The following is a 19,363-nucleotide window of genomic DNA, read 5'->3' on the forward strand; positions in this document are numbered from 1 at the left end:
CCCTGTCAGCACAGAGCTGGTGGCGGTGCTTTCCAGGGAGGCCCCACACACCTGACTCGGATCTCCTGGATGTCAGGGACCAGCAGGCGCTGGGGCTCCTTGTCTGTCTCTGTTGCCCGGGCAGGGGAAGGGAGCTTCTTGGAGTCGGCCTCTGGCAGCAGCTCGGGCTCTGGGCTGGCTGGCCGGGAGCAGGGCTGCGGGGTCCTGGGAAGCAGAGGGAAGTGCTGCCCACTGCAGGCCTCCCTGGGCCTGGGGCCGTCTTCCCCCAGGCTTCACCCTCCTCAGAGCACCTCAGAAGGTGCAGTAGGGCACCTTCGCAGGGTCTCTCCAGCTGTGCCCACAGTGGGAGCTCCCGGGGCCCGTCCACCAGGATAGCCAAGCTTGTGCCCGATTCCAGGAAGTGCTGGGCTTGGTGGGCAGGGTCCCCCAGGAACCTCGGGGCCCAGCCAGGGAGCCTGTGCCCCACTCCACGCCCTTCTCCCAGTGGCTCTCCTGCCCCCACCTCCACCCTGTGAAAGCAAGTCCAGCATCTCTTCATCTCCACAACTAGACTGAAGGTGACACGAGGTTCCAAGGAGCCACTGGAGCAGAGGGTGCCGATGGCCTCCCGCATGGGCCCCCCACATGGGCCAGGCCCCACGCGACTCGACCTGGTGGTCAAGGAGGCCTGCAGAAGACAAGGCCAGCTGATGCCACCGTCTTTCTTATTTAAATGAAAATCTGGAACCCTTAAGGCGCTTAAAACAAGAGTGAAAAGCATCTGCCTGCTTATGAATTGTACATAAGGGGTTCACACGAGGTCTCTTCCAAATGCGGACCTGCAGGGGCCAGGTGTCCCCTCCACAATACTGACTCTAACGGCTCTCATGCCCTCTTTCGTAACCTTTTCTTTTTCCATTATTTTATAAGCACTGTCTCAGGAAAGGGGAGCTTTAGCTTATTTTCCACCCATTTCTGGTCTTCTTCAGGGAAGAGAACACACACACACTAGGATGGAGCTGGCGGGGCACAGGCACCCTCTGAGAGGGCTGCGGACTCCACTCCTCCAGGCCCTTCCCTCAGCCTGTGGCCACCCCAAGGCACTCGGCCATTGGGGCCCCCTGTTCTGTGCTCTCTGTGCCCGAGTCACGGCCATGGTCATGGGTCAGCCGTGGTGCCAGAAGCCACTCCGGGAGCCTGGAGCTCACTCACCTCAGGTCAGTGGCACCGTACCGCCCTTCAACCAGAGAGGGGCAAGTGGAGGAGGGGGTGAGAGTGGCCACCCCTAGAGGGGACATCGACGGGTCCCGGAGCAGGGTGACAGACATCTCGGAGAGCTGCGGAGGAGAGGCCTTTTTCAGGGGACACAGGGAAGGGGGGTCTCCGGCCTCTGTGGGAGCTGCTCCCTGTGCCTGCGCTTACCCCACACCTGCTGCTTAGGGCACCCCACCCCTCCTACCAGCAGCCTTGGCTCAAAGTTGGCCAGCTCAAGACCCCCGGCCCCCTCCAGCCCCTGTGGCCCCTGGCCGGCCCCTCCCATCACTTCAGGCTCTGGCCTGACCCAGGCAGCCACCCTGCCAATGCCTCGAGGAGTGGGCTGGGTAAGCTCTGCCCTGCCGCCTCCTGCCCATGCCAGCGTGAGGTGGCGCTGGGTGATGCCATGGGGACAAGGAAGGCCATGGGCCAGGGCTGGAGCTCCACGCATAATGCAGCACAGCAGCAGTTTCCCAGGCTACAGGGGTGGGGTCGGTCCCAGGAGGAGGAGGGACAGCCAAGTGGGAGCTTGACTGACTGGGCCAGAGGCCACAGGGTGATGGCCAGACAGGGTGGGGGCCAGGAAGACAGCAGAAGCCTGCAAGTGCATGGGTGCATCCAAGGCCACAGGACCCACCCGGCCCCTCACTCACATCCCCACCTCCCATGGACCCCAGGCCGACCCAGGGAAACCAGCCACTTAGGTATGAGGTGTCCCTCTGCACTGAGACGTGTTCCTAGGAAACTCTTAACTGCCTTTTCCCACTTGGAATGGGAGTTTTCCTCAGGGACCACTGCCTATGGGAGCCCGAGCCCTGCGGGGCAGCCTGGTGCAGCCCCTCTGCACCCACCTTGCTCTCGCTGGCACTGACGCAGACGTGGCTGTGTGTGTACTCTCTGTTGAATGTGTGCGTGAGCAGGCGCAAGCACTGTGGACAGAGCACACGCGTGGTCAGGGGCCAGGCCTCCCGGGACCCTGCTCAGACAGCCTTGCAGGCTCTTCTACCCACCCCTCCCCAGACACAGGTGGGTTCCGACGCCAGAGCACAGTGGGTCAAGGTGGGCAGCACCTCCACCCCGCCCAGGTCATCGGGTGAGCCCAGGAAGTCTCCCAGGGTCAGGCACCGGCTGAGGGCCTGGTGTGAGGGCCAGAGGCTGTGCTGCCTCCAGTGCAGGAGGCGCAGGAAGCCTTCCCAGAGGCCCGTTCAGCCGCCAAAAGAGCCACTTGTGGGTGGAAGTGGTGAGCTCCCCATCAGCACAGGTATTCAAGAGAGTGATTCATCGCTTGGGAAGGGAGGCTGCAAAAGGCACCCAACTTTCAGTGCAGGTGGGGTGCAGTCAGTGGGCAAGGGGACCCTAGGGACCCCTCAAGCTCCTAGCTCCTGGTGGTGCTAACCAGAGCAGCCATGGGCAAGGCCGGGTTGCTGGAGTTGCCCAGAAATGACTCAGGGCCCTTGAGGGCCTGGGGCTACGGCTGTACTGCCCACCAGCTGGACCCACCTTGACGGCCAGCTCCCGCTGCCTCTCGTTGGGAGCCTCCAGGGGTGATGGGCGGCCCTCAGCCGAGAGCGGGGAGGAGGCGCTGGAGGAGCCATGGGACTCAGAGTCCTCGCTGAAGGCCGGGGACAGTGCCTCCGGGACAGGCCGCTGGGCGGTCTCCAGCTTCTCCCGCAGGAGCAGGTAGTGCCTAGTCTTCTCCACCTTCAGACAGGACACAAGGCCTTACCTGCTGCACCTCAGGGGTGACCTCCGGAGTTGTGCTCAGCCTCAGCAGCAGCATGACCCTCTGGGCAGACCCCGGAGAGCCCACCCTCCCCTGGGCTAAGACTGAAGACTGACAGCCCTCAGCTGTGAAATGAGGGAACAGACCCTGGCGCCCCGGGGCTGACAGCCCTCAGCCCCCACCCCAGCCCTGCCACCTTCATGGGCAGCAAGCAAGCTGCTCCTCTCAGACACATCCATCTCACGCGCCAGGTTCTGGGGCAGGGCTGTGCTGCCTTGCAGTGCTGGAGGCCTCAGGAGAGGGCCGAGGGGTGGGCAGAGCCCTGGCCTCACGCATCTCACACGTCACGCGTCACGTGTCACACACACACTCGGCCCGAGGCAGTGCCTAGATGCTGCATGTTGGTTTCCCTGATCAAAGCCGCAGAGGGCAGCCCAGCCCCGCGACTCTCCTTCCGGGTCCCTTTCTGGCCTCTGTCTATATGCCCGATAGTCTTCCTCGGCTAATTCCAGAGCATGCCTCTGTGCTACACTGGCCATGTTTCTGTCATACACCACGCAGCCCCGCAGTGCACACTGGAGCATCACATGCTCCTCCTGCAGGTGGCTGTGACTCCCAAGCAGCTGTGCTGCCCCCCAGTAGGCACCAGGCCCTGGGCCCTCTCCAGCTTTTGCTCTGCACACAAAGCCACATGGACACCACCGTGCGGGCCTCATCCTCTGAGGCTGCCTCACCTCCTGCAGGAGGCTCAGCTTCTCCAGCTCCCACTGGTGGTCCAGAATGAGACTGTCACTCCGGGGCCTCCAGCCTGCCAGGTTCTCCTCGCCCCGGACATAGGCCACAGATGTGTCCAGGACTCGTCGGCGCCGGCGCTGCATCCCTGCATGGGGCACGTGGACATTCCACCCCTACCTGATGGGTGGCTGCTCCTCCCACCCATCCTAGAGGTCCGCCCATCTGTGAAGCTGTCTCCCCTCTGGAGTGGAGATGGGCTTCCCCTGGTCCTTGGTCCACCCTGGGGCCCAAAGAGCCATGTAGGCCTCTTCCATAGGAAGTTATCCAGCCCGGCGTCCCATGGCCATCTCGGCTGTGCCCTGGGAACCCAAGGAAGCCAGCAGGCCTGACTCTCCTCCCTCGCTCTCCTCCCATCTCAGAACAACTCCAGAAGCCACAAGGTGAGTGCTTGGGTTCTGTGAGGGATCCCCCTGCAAATGGCAGCTTCGCTGTGGTCACCCCAAGTGGGCAGAGGTTGAGCAGGCCAGGAACCCACCCAGTGAGAGCAGGGCAGATACCTACCTGGGCTGCCCGCGTCAGCCACGTGGCACAGGCTGAGCTCGTACACACCAGTCACACGGTTACTGTGGGGAGTAGAAGGAGTGACATGCAGTCACCAGGCCCCGCAACAGGGACACACAGCCAGCCTGGCTGCTGACTTGCCCCACTATCAAACGCACAGTCAGCCTGGCTGGGGTGATGGGGTGTTGAGGTCCCTGAGCTACAGCCCCTGTTCAGAGTCCTCATCCCAGACTCCCTCCGGCCCCCAGAGAAAAGATGCATTGGCTGGTCTTGCTCAGGTGCCCATGGGGCTGTGACGTGAGGCCAGGCCCCCACAGCAGCCTCCACTTTGTCCCAGCCCAAGTGGGGTACAGGCAACATGAGCACAGCATCTGGCATCTCCAGTCCCTCCACGGCGTCGAGAGCCCCTCAGGCCCCATACCCCACAGAGCAGCCCCACTGTGCCCCGGACAGATTCTGAGAGCACCTCGGCCACCCTCCCACAGACAGGTCGGTGGCATCCCACAATTACTGAGTGACCTCCAGAATGACCACAGCCAGCCCTCAAGGACACTGGATCCTGACCCCCAAGCTCTTTCCTCCCAGCTGTGCCCAGTGTGAACCTGGACACCAGGTCCATGTGGCAGACCACAGGGAGACCCACTGAAGGTGGCCACGGGTGCCCGGTAGCCTCGGCAGCCCTGCTGTCAGGGCCCTGACATTCCGGCTCATTCTCCCCCACCCCCAAGAATCAGGAGCGTGTTCAGCACGCAAGCACGGCTGGTCCTGGTGTTCGGTGTGTGGCTCCCCAAGGTGCTGACAGCCTCCAAGAAGAGCCACCCAGCAGGTCCTGTGGGAAGCTGTGTCCAGAGCCCCCTTCCAGCCACCGCCCACTTATCCAGCTCCTCCTTCAGTGCCTTGTGGGCAGTCAGTCCCATGGCACAGGTTCCGTGGTCCTCAGGGAAGAAGGTCACCGGCGGCGGGGGGGGGGGGGGGGGAACGGTGTGGCCCCAGGATCACCCACAGGAGGCCCCAGGTGGGCACCCTGGGCCTGCCCCTCCTCCCATCCGCTGCAGGCTGGCCCTCAAGTCCCTCATAGTGGTGTCAGTGTCCCCTGCAGGAACCATGGCCTCCACAGAGTCTTCATCTAGGGTGAGCAGGAGGGGACTGAGCGCAGGGAGCCAGCCAGGAGTGTGGCTGGGCCTCGCACAGGGTGAGCTGCCGGGTGGCCCAAGGACCGCTGCCAGGCAGAGCCCTGCCTGGCCCGCACCGAGACCAGGGTGGGAGTCCATGTGGTCCTCACCCCTGGGAGCTTACCTCTCTGAGGCCCGAAGGCTCCCACTGCCAAAGAGGTTGCGGATGGAGCGCGAGGCTGGCAGCTTGGCATCACGGGAATAGAAGACCATGCAGAAGTCCTTGGTGACAACAGCCGGCTGGGTGCAGTTCTCCATCTGAGATAGGCGGGAGCAGGACTCAGGCACAAGGACACCCCGAGTGCCCAGGTGCCCTTCCAGCCTTCTCCTGGGGGCACAATGCCCAGCACCGACAGGCAGCCCCAGGGCCTTCCCAGGGCCTCAGGTGTGGCCTGGACGCAGGCAGGAGAAAGTCTCTGCTCCTGCCCTCGAGAAAACCCCACTGGGGACAGGTAGCCACAGCTCTGTCCACCCCTGGGCTGCCTGAGGGACTGGTCTCCATGTGTGGGGACCCCGAGGGTCCCAGACATAGGCTCACTGCTCGGGCCTCAGCTGCCTCACCATAAAATTGGGGTGACCCCTCCCCGACCCTGGAATGTCTGTGAGGATCAAACCAGGTCTTGTTTGAATGTGCACATTTTAACCCAAACACCACAGAAAATGACTTCCTGGTGGATGACACGCTAACTGCTGAACAGCTGGCCCCTTTGTCTTCCTGAAGTGGGGGCAGCTGCTGTGCATGGCTGAAGAGTCCCAAGCACTCGCTGGGAAGAGCTCTGCCAGCGCCTCCTCACGGCAACCTCACCACCATCTGGTGAGATGGTCACACCATCCCCATGTGAAGCTGGAATAATTCGGCTGTAACTAAGGAGAGGGGATGTGCTTGCAGATGCCCCTGCCCACTGCTCCCCACCCTCCCTCTCCCTCACTACTATGACCAGCAAGAAACGCCCACACTTCCAGTCACCTCTTGCACTTGGAAGGGAGGCCACAGCCCAGGTCTGGCCACGGCCTATGTACTGCAGACTCTGGGGGTGCTGTGGGGATGGAACACTTCTGTTTTTGTGCTGCCCGGAATGCAGACACAATGTCTGGTGGTGCTGCAGCCATCTTGCATCCCAAGGACAACACCCACACACTAAGTATGGTAGAGTGAGTTAACTGCCATTAAAAGCACATGGAGGATGGGTGCGGTGGCTCACACCTGTAATCCCAGCACTTTGGGAGGCTGAGGTGGGTGGATCACCTGAGGCCAGGAGTTTGAGAACAGCCTGGCCAACATGGCAAAACCCCATCTCTACTAAAAGTTCAAAAATTAGCCGGGCGTGGTGGCAGGCACCTGTAATCCCAGCTACTTGGGAGGCTGAGGCAGGAGAATCGCTTGAGCCTGGGAAGCGGAGGTTGCAGTGAGACTGCGCCATTGCACTCCAGCCTGGGCGACAAGAGTGAGACTCGGTCTCAAAAACAAAAAAAAAACAGCACATGGATTTATGGATTTATGGATTCAACCTTGCAGTCCAGTTTTTGTTTTTGTTTTTTAAAAGGCACACAAATTTAACCCAGGGACTTGAGAACTAGAGAAGTCGTCTGGGTCATATGGGGTTGTCCAGAGCTTACAAGAACCTCAAGCTTCAGGGGCTGAGTGGTTTTGGTGGAGTGCCCTGGCATAGGTGCCTTGCCTCGATATAAGCGGAGAGTGTCATGTAGATTTTCTCTCGATAAGGGGTGACCCGGTTCAGCAGGAGAGAGTTGTGCATGGAGCTGTCCCACGCAGCCTCAAATTGGTAAAAGGTCCTGAAAGGAAGCAGAGACAAAGTAGAAGTTGATGGCGTGGGGGCTGCTTTCAGCCAGGCCGGGGACATGCAGACAGACAGAGCGACAGACAAGGGGCAGCCGCAAGGGAGCGGCTGGGGGCACAGGCTGGAAGCCCGGGCGGCGGTGCCAGGAAGGACAGGTCCCTCCTTACTCAGGACCCAGAGAGTAGGGTCTCTTGGACGCCCCGATGAGGGTGAGCCCAGCATTTTCCCAGCTCCACCACAAATGGTGCCCCAGCTGTCACGCTGAGGCTGGAAGGAGAGGAGGCGGCAGGGAATGAGAACAAGAAGGGCAGAGAGGGAAGGGAGGAGGGAGGCAGGACAGGGAGCTGGGATGTGGGGAACACAGGGAAGGGAGAGGGGAGGGCAGGAGGAGAGGACTCAGGCAGGGAGGAGAGGAAGGACAGAGGCAGGGAGGGAGAGGGCAGAGCCTGCGCGGGCCCACCCCAGCCTCAGTCTGAGTAAGGAGGCGCCACCATCTCTCCCTGGACCTGAAGGGGACCTGCCCGGGTTTGCCAAAAACCTCCATGGTCCATCTCCTCTGACAATGGACTCACCCTTGGTCCATTGGGAAGAGGAAGGCCCCGGGGGGAGGATGCTTGGCATGGAGGCAGGGTGGCTGCTGCAAGGCCGTGTGCAAAAGCGTCTCTGTTAGCACACGGGAGACAGCGGCGGCCTCGCTGTGTTCCTAATCTCCACCCTGGAGTTATGATGAGCACGGCCTGAGCCAGCCACCCACAAACCCTGTCCCAGGGTGGCTCAGGGCCAGCCCCAGGGGCCTGGGATTTTACATCCCCATGGGGTCGAACCACGTTCCGCAAACACCTTGGGTGCCCTCTGCTCCGGAACAGGGTTTTCTGTTACGTGAGAGTTCCTGTTTTCAGCCTTCTGGATGGCAGTGACTGAGCTACTTCCTCAGGCCTGGTGCTCACAGGGAGGACTGGTCATACCCGAGGTGGACAATTTGCCTGACTCCAGAATGTGGCTACTCTGCAGACCCTGAGCAGCACGTTCAGCTCGCCCACCCCACCATCCACCCAGCCTCACCCAGCTCCCCTCCAAGCATCCTCGCAAGGACACAGTTCAGAGACATCAACACACACAGCTGGGCGGCCACGCAGGCTCCAAGGCGGCCGGGCCCCTCCCGAGACCGCGGTGGAGCACAGGTGGCACCAGGCTGCCCTGTCTACTGCACACATGGTCTGGGACGCAGGGCATGGATCTCACAAGTCGGGGGTGTGGAAGGAAGCAGAAGGACCAGGGAGGGCTGCTGTCGGACACATGTCACCGAGGAGCAATCCTGGGAGAGTGAGGACAGCGGGTGGTCAGAGAAAGGGCATAGAAGCAGGCAGACGCCGAGGAGAAAGGAACTCGGAAGAGCAGAAGAGGACAGACCAAGCAAGGGCGGAAGAGAAAAGTGAGCTGTACCTAGTGTCATTTCCCAATGAAACGCTAAAGGTGGAGGCAGCCAGGACACACACGTACACATACAGAAGAAATGGAGATGTCAGAACAAGCACCGGCACAAGGCCCAGGGCAGAAAACTTAAGAGTTCGGCAGGTGCACGCCGGATCTCACGGCCCCCAGGCTCTCGCTGCACACAGGGCTGGGGTGCAAGCCCCAGGTGGAGCCCCTGGCCCTGGCCCTGCAGACACCCCCTTCCCTGGGGTCTGCAGTGAGAGCCTTGCGTCTGTCCTCAGCTGGGCCAGGTGGATGCCCAGAAGCCAGGACAAAGGCCTGGAGGGATTTGCTCCTCTCCTGGAACATTGCAGGATCCTGTGGAGGGTCAGGCCTGCAGGCCAGGGCTGGAGCCACTGCAGCCTGGCCTGGAACAAGTGCCTCAGACCGCTGGAATGCCACAGAGCCACTTCACAGCTGTGTGGCCTCAGGATGTCACCAACAGCTCTGTGCCCCATTTCCTTGTAAGTACCATGGGGCAGTAATTGCCCCTACCTCAAGATGTCTTGCAGATTAAATGAGCTAATACTAGAGCACGATGAGAACAGAGCCTGGAGCTTGTACACATCAGCATCACTATCTGGTACACGTCAGCATCCCTGTCTGGAACACGTCAGCATCGCTGTCTGGTACACGTCAGCACCGCTGTCTGGTACATGTCATCATCACTGTCTGGTACACATCAGTGTAACTATCTGGCACACGTCACTATCTAGTACACTCTAGCATCCTCATTACTTCTATGCACTGGGTAAGACCCAGCCTGCAGGTCCCACCAGCCCTGTCTCTCCTGCTGGGCCCAAGCATTCGGTCCTGTGCTGGACCCTCTGTCTTCTGCCTCCAAAGTCCCTAAAGGGCCTCAGCTTGCTTCTCTTCCCCTTCCTTCTCTTCCATCTCCGTGTGTGCAGACACAGCCCACCTGCCCCTCACCCCTGGGCCCCAGGATCAGAACCAGCAGGTCTTTCCCAGCATCAGCACCTACTCCCTTCTCTGTGCCCTTCAGAGAGCACCAGGTCCTCCCAGCCCAGGCACTCCTCATTCATCAGGAACCACGTCCCTGCCCCATCCTGGGGCTCCTTGGCCCCTGAGTGGGACACAGCAAAGGAACAAGCCCAGTGAGGCAGGCAGGACTCCAAGGCCCAGCCAGGGGCTGCTCCTTAGGAGCAAGTGGACTCTGCTGGAGCCAGGCCTGGAGCTGTAAGTAGAACATGAACCCACTTCCACATGAGGCCCACAACAGCCCCCTTGGGGGTCCTAGCAGAGAATTTCTCAGTTCAGGTAGTATGTGGCTTTGCCCTGCTCAGACCCCAGTGGACTAGAATCTCTCTGAGAACCTGACTGTGGTGGAGTCTCACCTGTGAGCTGGGGAGAGAATGGTGGGAGGGAGCCTTACAGGACTGTGTGCACAGCAGGGATGGGCCCTTTCCAGACCACTGTCCCCTCCCCCAGGTGCCAAGATGGCTAGCCGGACCAGGGTCTGACATGGGCACAGCCATGGTGCTGCCCCTGGGTCATTTCCAAACTGCTGGTCAGCCCCAGAGGCTTCCCACTCTGCCCAGGGGAGCTGTACCCTAAATGCCTCGCAACCAGCCCTTGGCCCACATCCTGCCTGGCTCCACCTGGTCACGGGCAGCAGACCTTGGAATCTCGGGCCAGGAGGGTCCCTGGCAACACTCCTTAGTCCCCCTATGCCCCTCAAGCCTCTACAAAGGGAGGACAAGTCTTACCCAGATCCCAAGTGAGATTAGAGGAGACAACAGCTGGTGGATCAGGGAGGAGCAGGCTGGCAGAGTAGCAGCTCACCCACACAGGACCCACATGGGACCCACATTGCCAGTTGGGGCCCACCGGGCTTGCAGGGCACAGCATGGGAACCACTGATGGGTGCCCTGTGATCATACAGCAGGAAACCAAGACCCAGGGAGGCTGAGAGGTGGCCAAGATCACCCTGCCATGGCAAAAACTGGAGGATGTGGGCTGGGAGGGCCTTGGAGACCACTCCAGGACCCCCACTCCAGGAGCAGGCACGAGGTTGCTCCAGGCCCTGTCCCCTGAAGCCTCCCTCACTCTATCCCACGTGACAGCACCCAAACCCTCAGAATCATCACAAGAGGAAACATGCAACCCAGATGTGGAGGCCCAGGTTCTCCAGGGAGGCGATCTAACAGGCTGAGGCCACAGATGGCAGCCAGGGCTGACCCTCCTCGCCCGAAGGGAACATGATCCCAGCAGGAGACTTGATCCGATGTGAACACACAGCTAAGAGCAGGGGATTGTGCTTGAACCCCGACCTCAGGGATACGGTTCACAGGATCTGGACATGACACAACACAGTCATGTGGCACCATCCACCAAGCAGCCCAAGAATGGAGCAGAGAACACAGGCAGCCCATCTGTCTCTGGGATGAAAGCTGGATGCAGCATTCGCACAGGGCCCAGCCAACTGGAGGAGGCTGGGCCAGGCACCCCTGAGGGCCGCAGCATGAGCCTGCTCTGTAGCCTCTCCACCTCCAGCCTGAGTCCTGGTCAGTACTGGCCCCACCCTCCAAGCCCCCTGAGGGCAGCTGCAGGCTCCCTCCCGGCCTGACTGAGCCCTGCCCTGGGCTCTGTCCTGTGGGGAAATGTACAGCTGGGAAGGCTGATGTTGCCCTTTAAAGCTCGAAACCTGGCCTGAGGGCAAATCTGCAGTAGATCCACACAGAGACAGGAGAGATTTTACAGCTAGGCTAGTGAGAAGGAGGTGGGTGGAGTCAGGAAGGTGCCTGGAGGAGGGCCCACTGCAGCTGGATTTCAAAGCCCACCAAGGACTTAGACATAGGGGCTAGGATGGTGGGCATGCCAGATGCCAGGTATGCCAGATGCCAGGCACAGACTAAACAGAGGCAGGGAGGGGGTGGGGGCGCAGCTGGAGACAGCTGCATCCTGTCCCCACAGGCTTGAGGAATGCACGGACTTTGAGCAACATCGGATGCGGCTCTGGCCCTGGCTCCACCAGCAGCGCTGGGCTGCAGCCGCTGACACAGCCAGAGCTGGTGCCCCGACCGCATGCCACCCCTGAAGTTGTGCCAGCTGGGAGACAACCAGCATGTCACTGCTCCCCACCACCTCCACCAGACAGCGTGGCCCTGGAGGTCGCTGTCCTCAGAGGAGGAGAATCCTAGACCAGATCTGGCCTCAGAGGCAGTGCAGGTCAGGGGCTCGGCCCTGACCGGGAGCTGCCTTTTCCACTCTCCCCTCCACCTCTGCTCATGGGCTCCTTTTGTGCCCCCAGCTCAGGCAAGCTCACTGTTTCCTGGTGAGCCCTCCCCACTGGGAAGACCCCCACAGTCCCCCTCGCCCTGGCTGACACTGTCGCTGGACTCTGGCTCCAGAACCAGGGCCAGCAGTCCCCATCACTGCTGTGCCACAGGGCCAGGACACAGCCTGCTTGGTTAGTGTCTGCTATGGGGATTGGGGGGTAAGGGATGAGGGGAGGAGGGGAGGAGGGGAGGAGGGGAGGAGGGGAGGAGGGATGAGGGATGGGGGGAGGAGGGGAGGAGACTAGGGGAGGAGACTAGGAGAGGAGCCAATGAGGGGAGGAGGGGATGACGGGAGGAGGGAATGAGGGGAGGAGGGAATGAGGGGAGGAGGGGATGAGGGATGGGGGAGGAGGGAAGGAGGAAGAGGGGAGGAGGGGAGGAGAGAATGAGGGGAGGAGGGATGAGGGGAGGGGAGGAGGGGATGAGGGATTGGGGAGGAGGGGAGGAGAGGATAAAGGGAGGAGAGAATGAGCGGTGGAGGGGATGAGGCGTGAGGGGAGGAGGGGATGAGGCATGAGGGGAAGAGGGGATGAAACATGAGGGGAGGAGGGATGAAGGGAGAAGGGGATCAGGGGAGGAGAGAATGAGGGGAGGAGGGGATGAGGAAATGAGGGGGTGAAGGAGTGAGGGAGAGAGGGGAGGAAAAAATGAAGGGAAGAGGGGCGGAGGGAATGAAGGGAGGCATGATTAGGGCGTAAGGGGAGGAGAGGGTGAGGGAATTAGGGAATGCAGGGACGAGGAGGTAAGGGATGAGGGGGTGAGGGGAGGAAAGGGTGAGAGGAGGAGGAATTGAGTGAGGAAATAGGGTAAAATGAGGGGATGAGGGAATGAGGGAGGGATGGGGGATGAGGGGGGTATGAGGGGATGAGGGAGGGATCAGGGATGGATGAGGGAATGAGGGAGGGATGAGGAGATGAGGGAATGAGGGGAGGAGCTAATAAGGGGATGAGGAGTTCGGGGGTGAGGGACGACAGGGTGAAATGAGGGGATGAGGGGGGATGAGGGATGAGGGAAAATGAGGGAGGGATGAAGGGATAAGGGGGAATGAGGGAGGGATAAGGGATGAGGGGATAAGGGATGAGGGGATGAGGGAGGGACGAGACGATGAGGGGGAATGAGAAAAGGATAAGGGGATGAGGGTATGAGGAAGGGATGAGGGAGGGATGAGGGGGAATGAGGGAGGGATGGGGAAGAGAGGGGATGAGGGAGGGATAAGGGGATGGGGAAGGGTAAGAGATGAGGAATGGATGAGGGAGAGATGAGGGTATGAGGAAGGGATGAGGGAGGGATGAGGGGGAATGAGGGAGGGATGAGGGGGAATGAGGGGGGGATGAGAGGGTGAATGAGCTTCCTGGCCAGGCTCTGACCCACCTGGACAGACTTTTCCTGATTTTGCCTTTAATCCCACAGGATGTGGCTCACATGAGTGTCTTAGTCACACGTGAAAGATCAATGAGTGCGTGGGTGAATGTTGCGGCCCCACCAATGGCACAGCAATGCCCAGAAAACAGCTCCTAAATTAGAGCCCAAGCTGATGGGCTCCCCAGACCCAGATCTTTCCGAGCATGGGGAAACTCCCAGAGGCAGGCCAGCTGACTCCAGGACTAGCTAGCACGATGCCATCTCCTCCTCCTGCAAGCCCGCCAGACTCACTGCAGGGAGAGGGAGGCCCCTGCTCAGGCCCTGCAGGGCCGTGCTCCCTCCTCAGCCCAGCCACCATCACAGGGGTCCCTTGACAGGGTTTCTGCTGCATCCAGGTCCCCAGGGAGGGCTGGTGCGGCAGCCTTCAGAAAAGATCTGTTCATGGAAAGAGGTGTGTGTGCACGTGCTCAAGGGACCATGCCAATGGGGACTCTGGCCCGGCCACCCCTGGGCAGAGTCTTCTCCTGGCCACAGTCCCTCTGCCACAGTTGTCAATCATCTGTCCTGACCCATCGCAACACGACCTGACAAGGATGTGGCCTCAGAAAGTGCTGGCCAAGCCCCACTGCCCTGGGGCTCTGTGCCAGGAGCGGCCTCACACCTCACAACTACAGGGCTTAAAGGCCCATCATTGGTCTGAAAGGCCTTCTGCTGCTCAGTTCACTTCACAAACGCCACCCCACAGGATAACTGCCGTGACGCTGGCCACAGTCATGCAGGGACCCAGGAGCAGGCAGCCTTGATTTTCCATTCGGAACGGACTCGAGTTCTCACCAGTGCCTGGATTAGGGACTTGGAGGCCCTCCATCCCCAAGGTCTCGCCGACTCCCTGCCCCAGGCTGGCACGGGCAGGGGCCTCACTGCAGCCGGGGAAAAGGGAGCCTCCTGCTGGACAACCTGAGTCTGGGACTCTATGGTCTCTTCATGAATTCACCACCCGCCACTTCCACAAAAGGATGCTCGGTGGCCACGGCCAGAGGAGCGTGGCTGGAGCCGCTGTCCCTCCTCCTGGCCTGGCCAGGTGAGGGACTCACGAGAGGCTGTGGAATGTGCCGGAGTGTGAGGGTCTCCTGGGCTGGATCCTGTCTGCCCTTCCCCAACCCCTGTGCTCATGGCTCTGCCTGCTACAGCCCCTTGCAGGGAGAGGGGAGCGGGGCTGGTCCTCACAGGGTGGTGCAGCCAAGGGCAGCGGGCCAGCCAGCAGCGTGCGGGACACCGAGCCCATCCACAGGGCAGGGTGTGGCGCGGGGCAGGCAAGGCTGGGGCAGGAGGAGCAGGAGGCCAGCCAGTGTCTACTAGGGAGCAGGAAACTACAAAGCAGCCAAAATCAGGAGTGGGGGAAGAAGGGACTCAGCCAAGAGGACAGGGTGGGAAAGCAATAAAGAAATCAAACCAAGATTCCAAGAGAATAAAAAGAAAGAAGACGGGAGGAACAGGAGGACAGGTGAGCACGTGTGTGAGGAGTCCAGGAAGCTGGAAGTTAACTTCTCAGGGGCATGGGGGGCGGTCAGGGGAGGAGCAGGGAGGAAAGAAGAGGCTGAAATGAAACCAAGGGTAAACCAAGGGTCACAGATGATACCTAGGTATGTCCGAATCAAGAAACTGCCTGCAAAACACAAACAATCACACGGTTAGTGAGGGCCGGGCAGCGCAGCGGGAGCGGGGTGGGGGACAGGCAGAGGGAAGCGGCCTGTGGCCACAGGCCCACTCTGAGCCAGGGAGGCTGCAAAGCGTGGGGCCTGGGAGCGGGCAGGAGGCAAGGCCATGGAAAAGCGCATGGAAGGCCAAGGCCCCAGGCTGGAGCCAGAAGCCGGGGATCCTGAGCCTCCGCACGTCAGGGAGAGCGGCCTTGGAGCAGCCCGGCCCATCATGGGGCTGAGGACGCCAGCACCGTCCATGGCACAGGAAGGCCCACTGGCCTGGTCAGCCAAGCCACAGGACGGTGCCTGCCTGGGGGTGCCAGCAGAGGACAGTCCCCAAGACTGCTCCAGGGCAGGGCTAGGGGTGGGAGCTGCCAGCACGGGCAGGAGCCAAGCGAGGGCCAAAGCCGCTTCGGGGAGGCCGCGCCCACGCAACGCGCCTTCCTCCTTTCTCAGACCCAGGGCCTTGACCCCAGAACAGGGCTGCCTCAACCCCAGAGGCACCCTGGGACCGGCCTCATGTCTCAGCCCTCAGGGTGTGGGGCCAAAGCCCCTTCAGTGACAGGTTCTCAGGCATCCAGGAACAGGGTGGCCTGAGGTCCAGCCATGAGCCGCTCCCTCCTACGTCACCCATGGCAGCTGGTCTTCTGAGGAAGACCTCAGAAACTCAGCCCTCTGTGCAGAGAGATAGCAGGTGGGGTTGGGGGGCTGGAGCCCCTGCCCACCCCACCCCAGGAGCTGCCTGGGCTGAGGGGGGTCAGAGGTCAGGAAAATAAGGTAATGAGGTCATCTCCCAGGCTCCAAAGCACATCTCACATGGCAGACCCGCCCTTCCGGGCCCCACCCCCTACTCCAATTCCTGGTCCCCCATGGCCCAGGCACAGCAGCCCACACTCTGCAGGCAGCGCCCGTGCTGGGGGCTCCAGGCCTTCTCCACACCTCACCAGGGAGCATTCTCATGGCGGCAGGAGAAGCAAGGCACGGGGAAGCCCCAAGCCCCGGCCCGTCCCACCTGGTCTGCCTCACCTCTCCCTCTCCCAGACGTGCTCCCCCCTCATGGCACCACCTCCACATAGAACACCCCCCGGATTCTCCACCCTCCTATGGACATGAGTGCAGGGCAAGTTCCCTCTGGAAGGCCACAGGCAGGGCTGGGACCAGAGCTGCATCCACCCTGCCCAGGTCTGTGCCCAACCCCCACCCCCCACTGTTCAGCGCTGTGCCCACCCTGACTATCCAGCTGCCCCCTGCCCTGGCTGCCCCTGCAGTGCCCTCCTTACTGCAGTGCTAAGCCCCGATAGCCCACTTTCTGGGTGTTGCTGATGAAACCAAAGCTTTGTGTGGACCCAAGTCAGAAGAATAGGAGACGACGCCCGCCAGGACCCTCCTTCCTTATGACCCTGACCCTCCTTGCAGGGAGGCCCTCAAAGACGTTTTCCTACAAACACAGCCATGGAGACACCTGCGGCTTCAGCTCTGAGGGTCCACTCTGGGCTTGTGCATCATGAGCCAGGTCGAGCCCCCAGGGAGCAGCCAGGACTGGACACTGGAGCCCCCGCCTCACTTTCCCCAAGCCCCTGGAAGGCAGCGTCTGGGACGCAGTGGAGCCCGCGGGACGTCCCCACCCACCAGGGCTGCCCCTGGCAGTGCTGAGCCACCTGCCCAGGCCAACCGCAGGGGCTGCCTCCCTCTCCCATCCCCTAACCCCAGCAGACCCCGATAGGGCTGCCACAGACATCCCAGAGCGCCAAAACCCCAGCCTAAATGCGGTCGGGCTGGGACCGCCCAGACTGTGGGGTCTTGGCCGTGCAAGGAGTGTAGGAAGGAGCAGCCTGGTGATGAGGGGCCTGTGCCAAGCAGTGCCTATGGGCGCCCACCCCAGCTGCTCCACCTCTAGCCCCAGGATGCCTGCCAGAGGCCACTGACTCATCCACAGCAGCATGGTCCTTGGACATACAGCCACTTGTCCCCACACCACGCAACCACAAAACTCCCGAGGACAGAACTCAGCTCATCTTCCAACCCCTGCGCTGGCCCCTCTGCTTGGTGATAAACAAATGGGCATGGGGATGCCTGAACCAGCAACGAGGTGCACAAACGAGGAGCCGGGGGTGCAGAGGCCACCAGCCCCTCACCGCACAGCTCCTGCAGGTGCCAGGAGGGAGGGCCGGGAGAGCGTTGAGCGGGTCACCTTGTGTGGCTGAACCCTGTGCCGGGTTGGCTGAGGGCCTGGCAGGCTGGGAACATGCCCTGGGCCCTGTCTCCAGGGAGTCTCCGACTCACCGGTCATCTTGGGCTGGGTGGATGTATCCGGAAGAGAGGATGTTGAGAGACAAGATGTTGGGGTCGATCAGGGACTCGTCGGTCTCTGGAGTGTTTCGGATGCGGCCTGCAGAAAAGGCAACGGGCCACAGGTCACTTCCCAGGGGGCAGGTGGGACCCTGGGGGGCTGCCTCAGGTGGGGGTCCTGTCAGCAAGCCAGCTCCCCACATGGTCACTAGAGCGTCTGTCAAAGGCGGTGCCAGGGGGAACAGGGAGGCCCTACAGGGTCCTCAGCAACCCAGGTGCCATGTGTAGTTGCTGCTCCACGGTCTTTCTTGTCTGTCTCTCGGCCACAGTGAACACCCCCGTATACACACACTGACAAATGCAGGTGCTTAGCCTGGAAACCACCGGCCTTCCTGACTGCTGGAAAAGGAAGGCTAAGCAAGACACAGAGGAGGAATGTTCCTGCTTCTTCTTACACCAAAAAGTCATGATAATAACAAGGAAAGGGAGGGAGGGAGGGAGGGAGGAAGGGAGGGAGGGAAAGAAGAGCAGAGGAGGGGAGGGATGGGAAGGGATAGGAGAGAACACTTTCTGTGCCATAAAACCTCTTCTTACAAGGGGCATTTCCAGGAGAGCCCGCTAAGTTGCATGCACTGGGGGTGTCTGTCTGTCTCTGTGAAAGAAACCAGAGCCGTTATCAGGCAGGAAAACTGTCTAGTGGCTTCACCTAGTAATTTCTTGGCCAGACAGTGACAGTTCTGCTCATTCAAAGGAGTAAACAAACACATGTACATTTTCTTTGTTGCGCCAGGAAGGAACGGCAGCCTTCCCTCTCCGCCATGCATGGACAAGATAAAACCCAGGACACGCTAGGATTTTGTGTTGATGGGTGCACACTGGGCCTGCCCCATCCCATTGCTGGAACTCTGACCCATGACTTTGCAGCACTTAGGTCCTGGGAAGAGGCAGGTGGATCCCAGCAAAGTGCCCTTCCCCACGCCAGGGCCCTCTGGGTCCATGCTGGGCAGTGCCCATGGCAGGGAAGAGGCTCAGCTGCAGAGATCGCTGCCTGGGCAGAGCCACTCTCAGCCCTCGGGGAGGGGAGCGCAGCTGCTCTCAGCCCTCGGGGCCTGCACTTAAGCAGTGTTTAGCCTGCTCTGCGTCTGACCAAGTACCTGGCCCACAAAACTGACACCCATGAGCCCGCTGGTCTGGACAGAGTGCCAGGGGTTGGGCTGGGGTCCTGACCCTCTGTTGTCTGCACTTTGACTCCCTCCCCTGCCTCAAAGGGTGCACCCACCCACTGCTCATGGACACCCGGGGTCTCTCCTCGACTTTCATCCCTTTCGCTGACCCTGTGCCCAGTCCTGTCCAACTCACAGGGCTGGAAAGTCCCATGGCCCTCTTGGGAGGGATGCTGAGCTTGGAGAAGGCTGTGAACAGTGAGATTGGGTCCCAGGTGAGGAGCAGGAGAGAGGCTAGGTGCTCCCCAGAAAGTGACTTGGCTGCTCTGTGCCCTGAGTCCAATCACAGGGCTGCTCAGTCACGAAGCCCAGAGAGGCTGAGCCCAAACCCCTTAGCCTGAAGGGGAGCATTGGGGTTCATACCATATCTCCCCAGATCCCTTTAAATAGCATCCCTGATCACCCAACCCCACATAAACAGACACTCCTGTTGGCCTTTTTAGAAAGAAGGTGGGGAGAAGGTGGATCTGAGCAGGCGGGGCCTGAGTGGTGACAGACCCAGGCCCGAAGGATGCGTCCTTTCAACCATGCAGATCCAGCTTCCCCTCTTCCTTCTCTCCTGTCTGCCTTGAGGGAAGTGAGACCAGGGCTCAGAATGTGAGGGCAGTGCTGCCCCAGGGATCGTTCCTCAACTACCGTGTGGCCGGGTCCATAAACCAGCTGTGTATTTGCTTACGTTCTGCCTATAAATCAATTCACTCTTCTTAGGCTTGCCCTAAACAACCTCTGAAAGGAGGGTTTGGGTGCTTGTTCCATGACTTTCTGATTCATGTGAAATTAGACACAAAACTTGT

General features: G+C 60.8%; 1 protein-coding gene across 28 annotated transcripts in view, besides 1 other annotated feature; it reads right to left on the bottom strand.

Moving 5' to 3' along the window:
* Nucleotides 1-19,363, bottom strand: part of KIF1A (kinesin family member 1A) — a 107,637-nt gene that overhangs the window by 5,956 nt on the left and 82,318 nt on the right. For 14 of the 28 annotated variants that reach the window (NM_001379653.1, NM_001379650.1, NM_001379645.1 and 11 more), the window contains 9 exons: nucleotides 17,341-17,446; nucleotides 7,104-7,218; nucleotides 5,549-5,682; nucleotides 4,253-4,314; nucleotides 3,691-3,836; nucleotides 2,734-2,934; nucleotides 2,085-2,162; nucleotides 1,192-1,316; nucleotides 52-204 (listed from right to left, as the gene is read on the bottom strand). In NM_001379653.1, the coding sequence (NP_001366582.1) occupies nucleotides 52-204; nucleotides 1,192-1,316; nucleotides 2,085-2,162; nucleotides 2,734-2,934; nucleotides 3,691-3,836; nucleotides 4,253-4,314; nucleotides 5,549-5,682; nucleotides 7,104-7,218; nucleotides 17,341-17,446 (1,120 nt within the window). Of the gene's footprint in view, nucleotides 1-51; nucleotides 205-1,191; nucleotides 1,317-2,084; nucleotides 2,163-2,733; nucleotides 2,935-3,690; nucleotides 3,837-4,252; nucleotides 4,315-5,548; nucleotides 5,683-7,103; nucleotides 7,219-8,666; nucleotides 8,691-14,996; nucleotides 15,024-17,340; nucleotides 17,447-19,363 lie in introns of all 28 variants that reach the window. The other 14 variants (XM_047444819.1, NM_001379649.1, NM_001379632.1 and 11 more) reach the window with 2 other exon arrangements.
* Nucleotides 14,023-14,523: an enhancer, noted in NCBI's record as "H3K4me1 hESC enhancer chr2:241673162-241673662 (GRCh37/hg19 assembly coordinates)". NCBI's record gives its function as "activates a minimal SCP1, AML or CMV promoter by ChIP-STARR-seq in primed H9 embryonic stem cells {active_cell/tissue: H9 hESC(primed)}" and the evidence as "EXISTENCE:reporter gene assay evidence [ECO:0000049][PMID:30033119]".

This window comes from Homo sapiens, chromosome 2 (assembly GCF_000001405.40).
Source record: "Homo sapiens chromosome 2, GRCh38.p14 Primary Assembly".
NCBI lineage: Eukaryota > Metazoa > Chordata > Mammalia > Primates > Hominidae > Homo > Homo sapiens.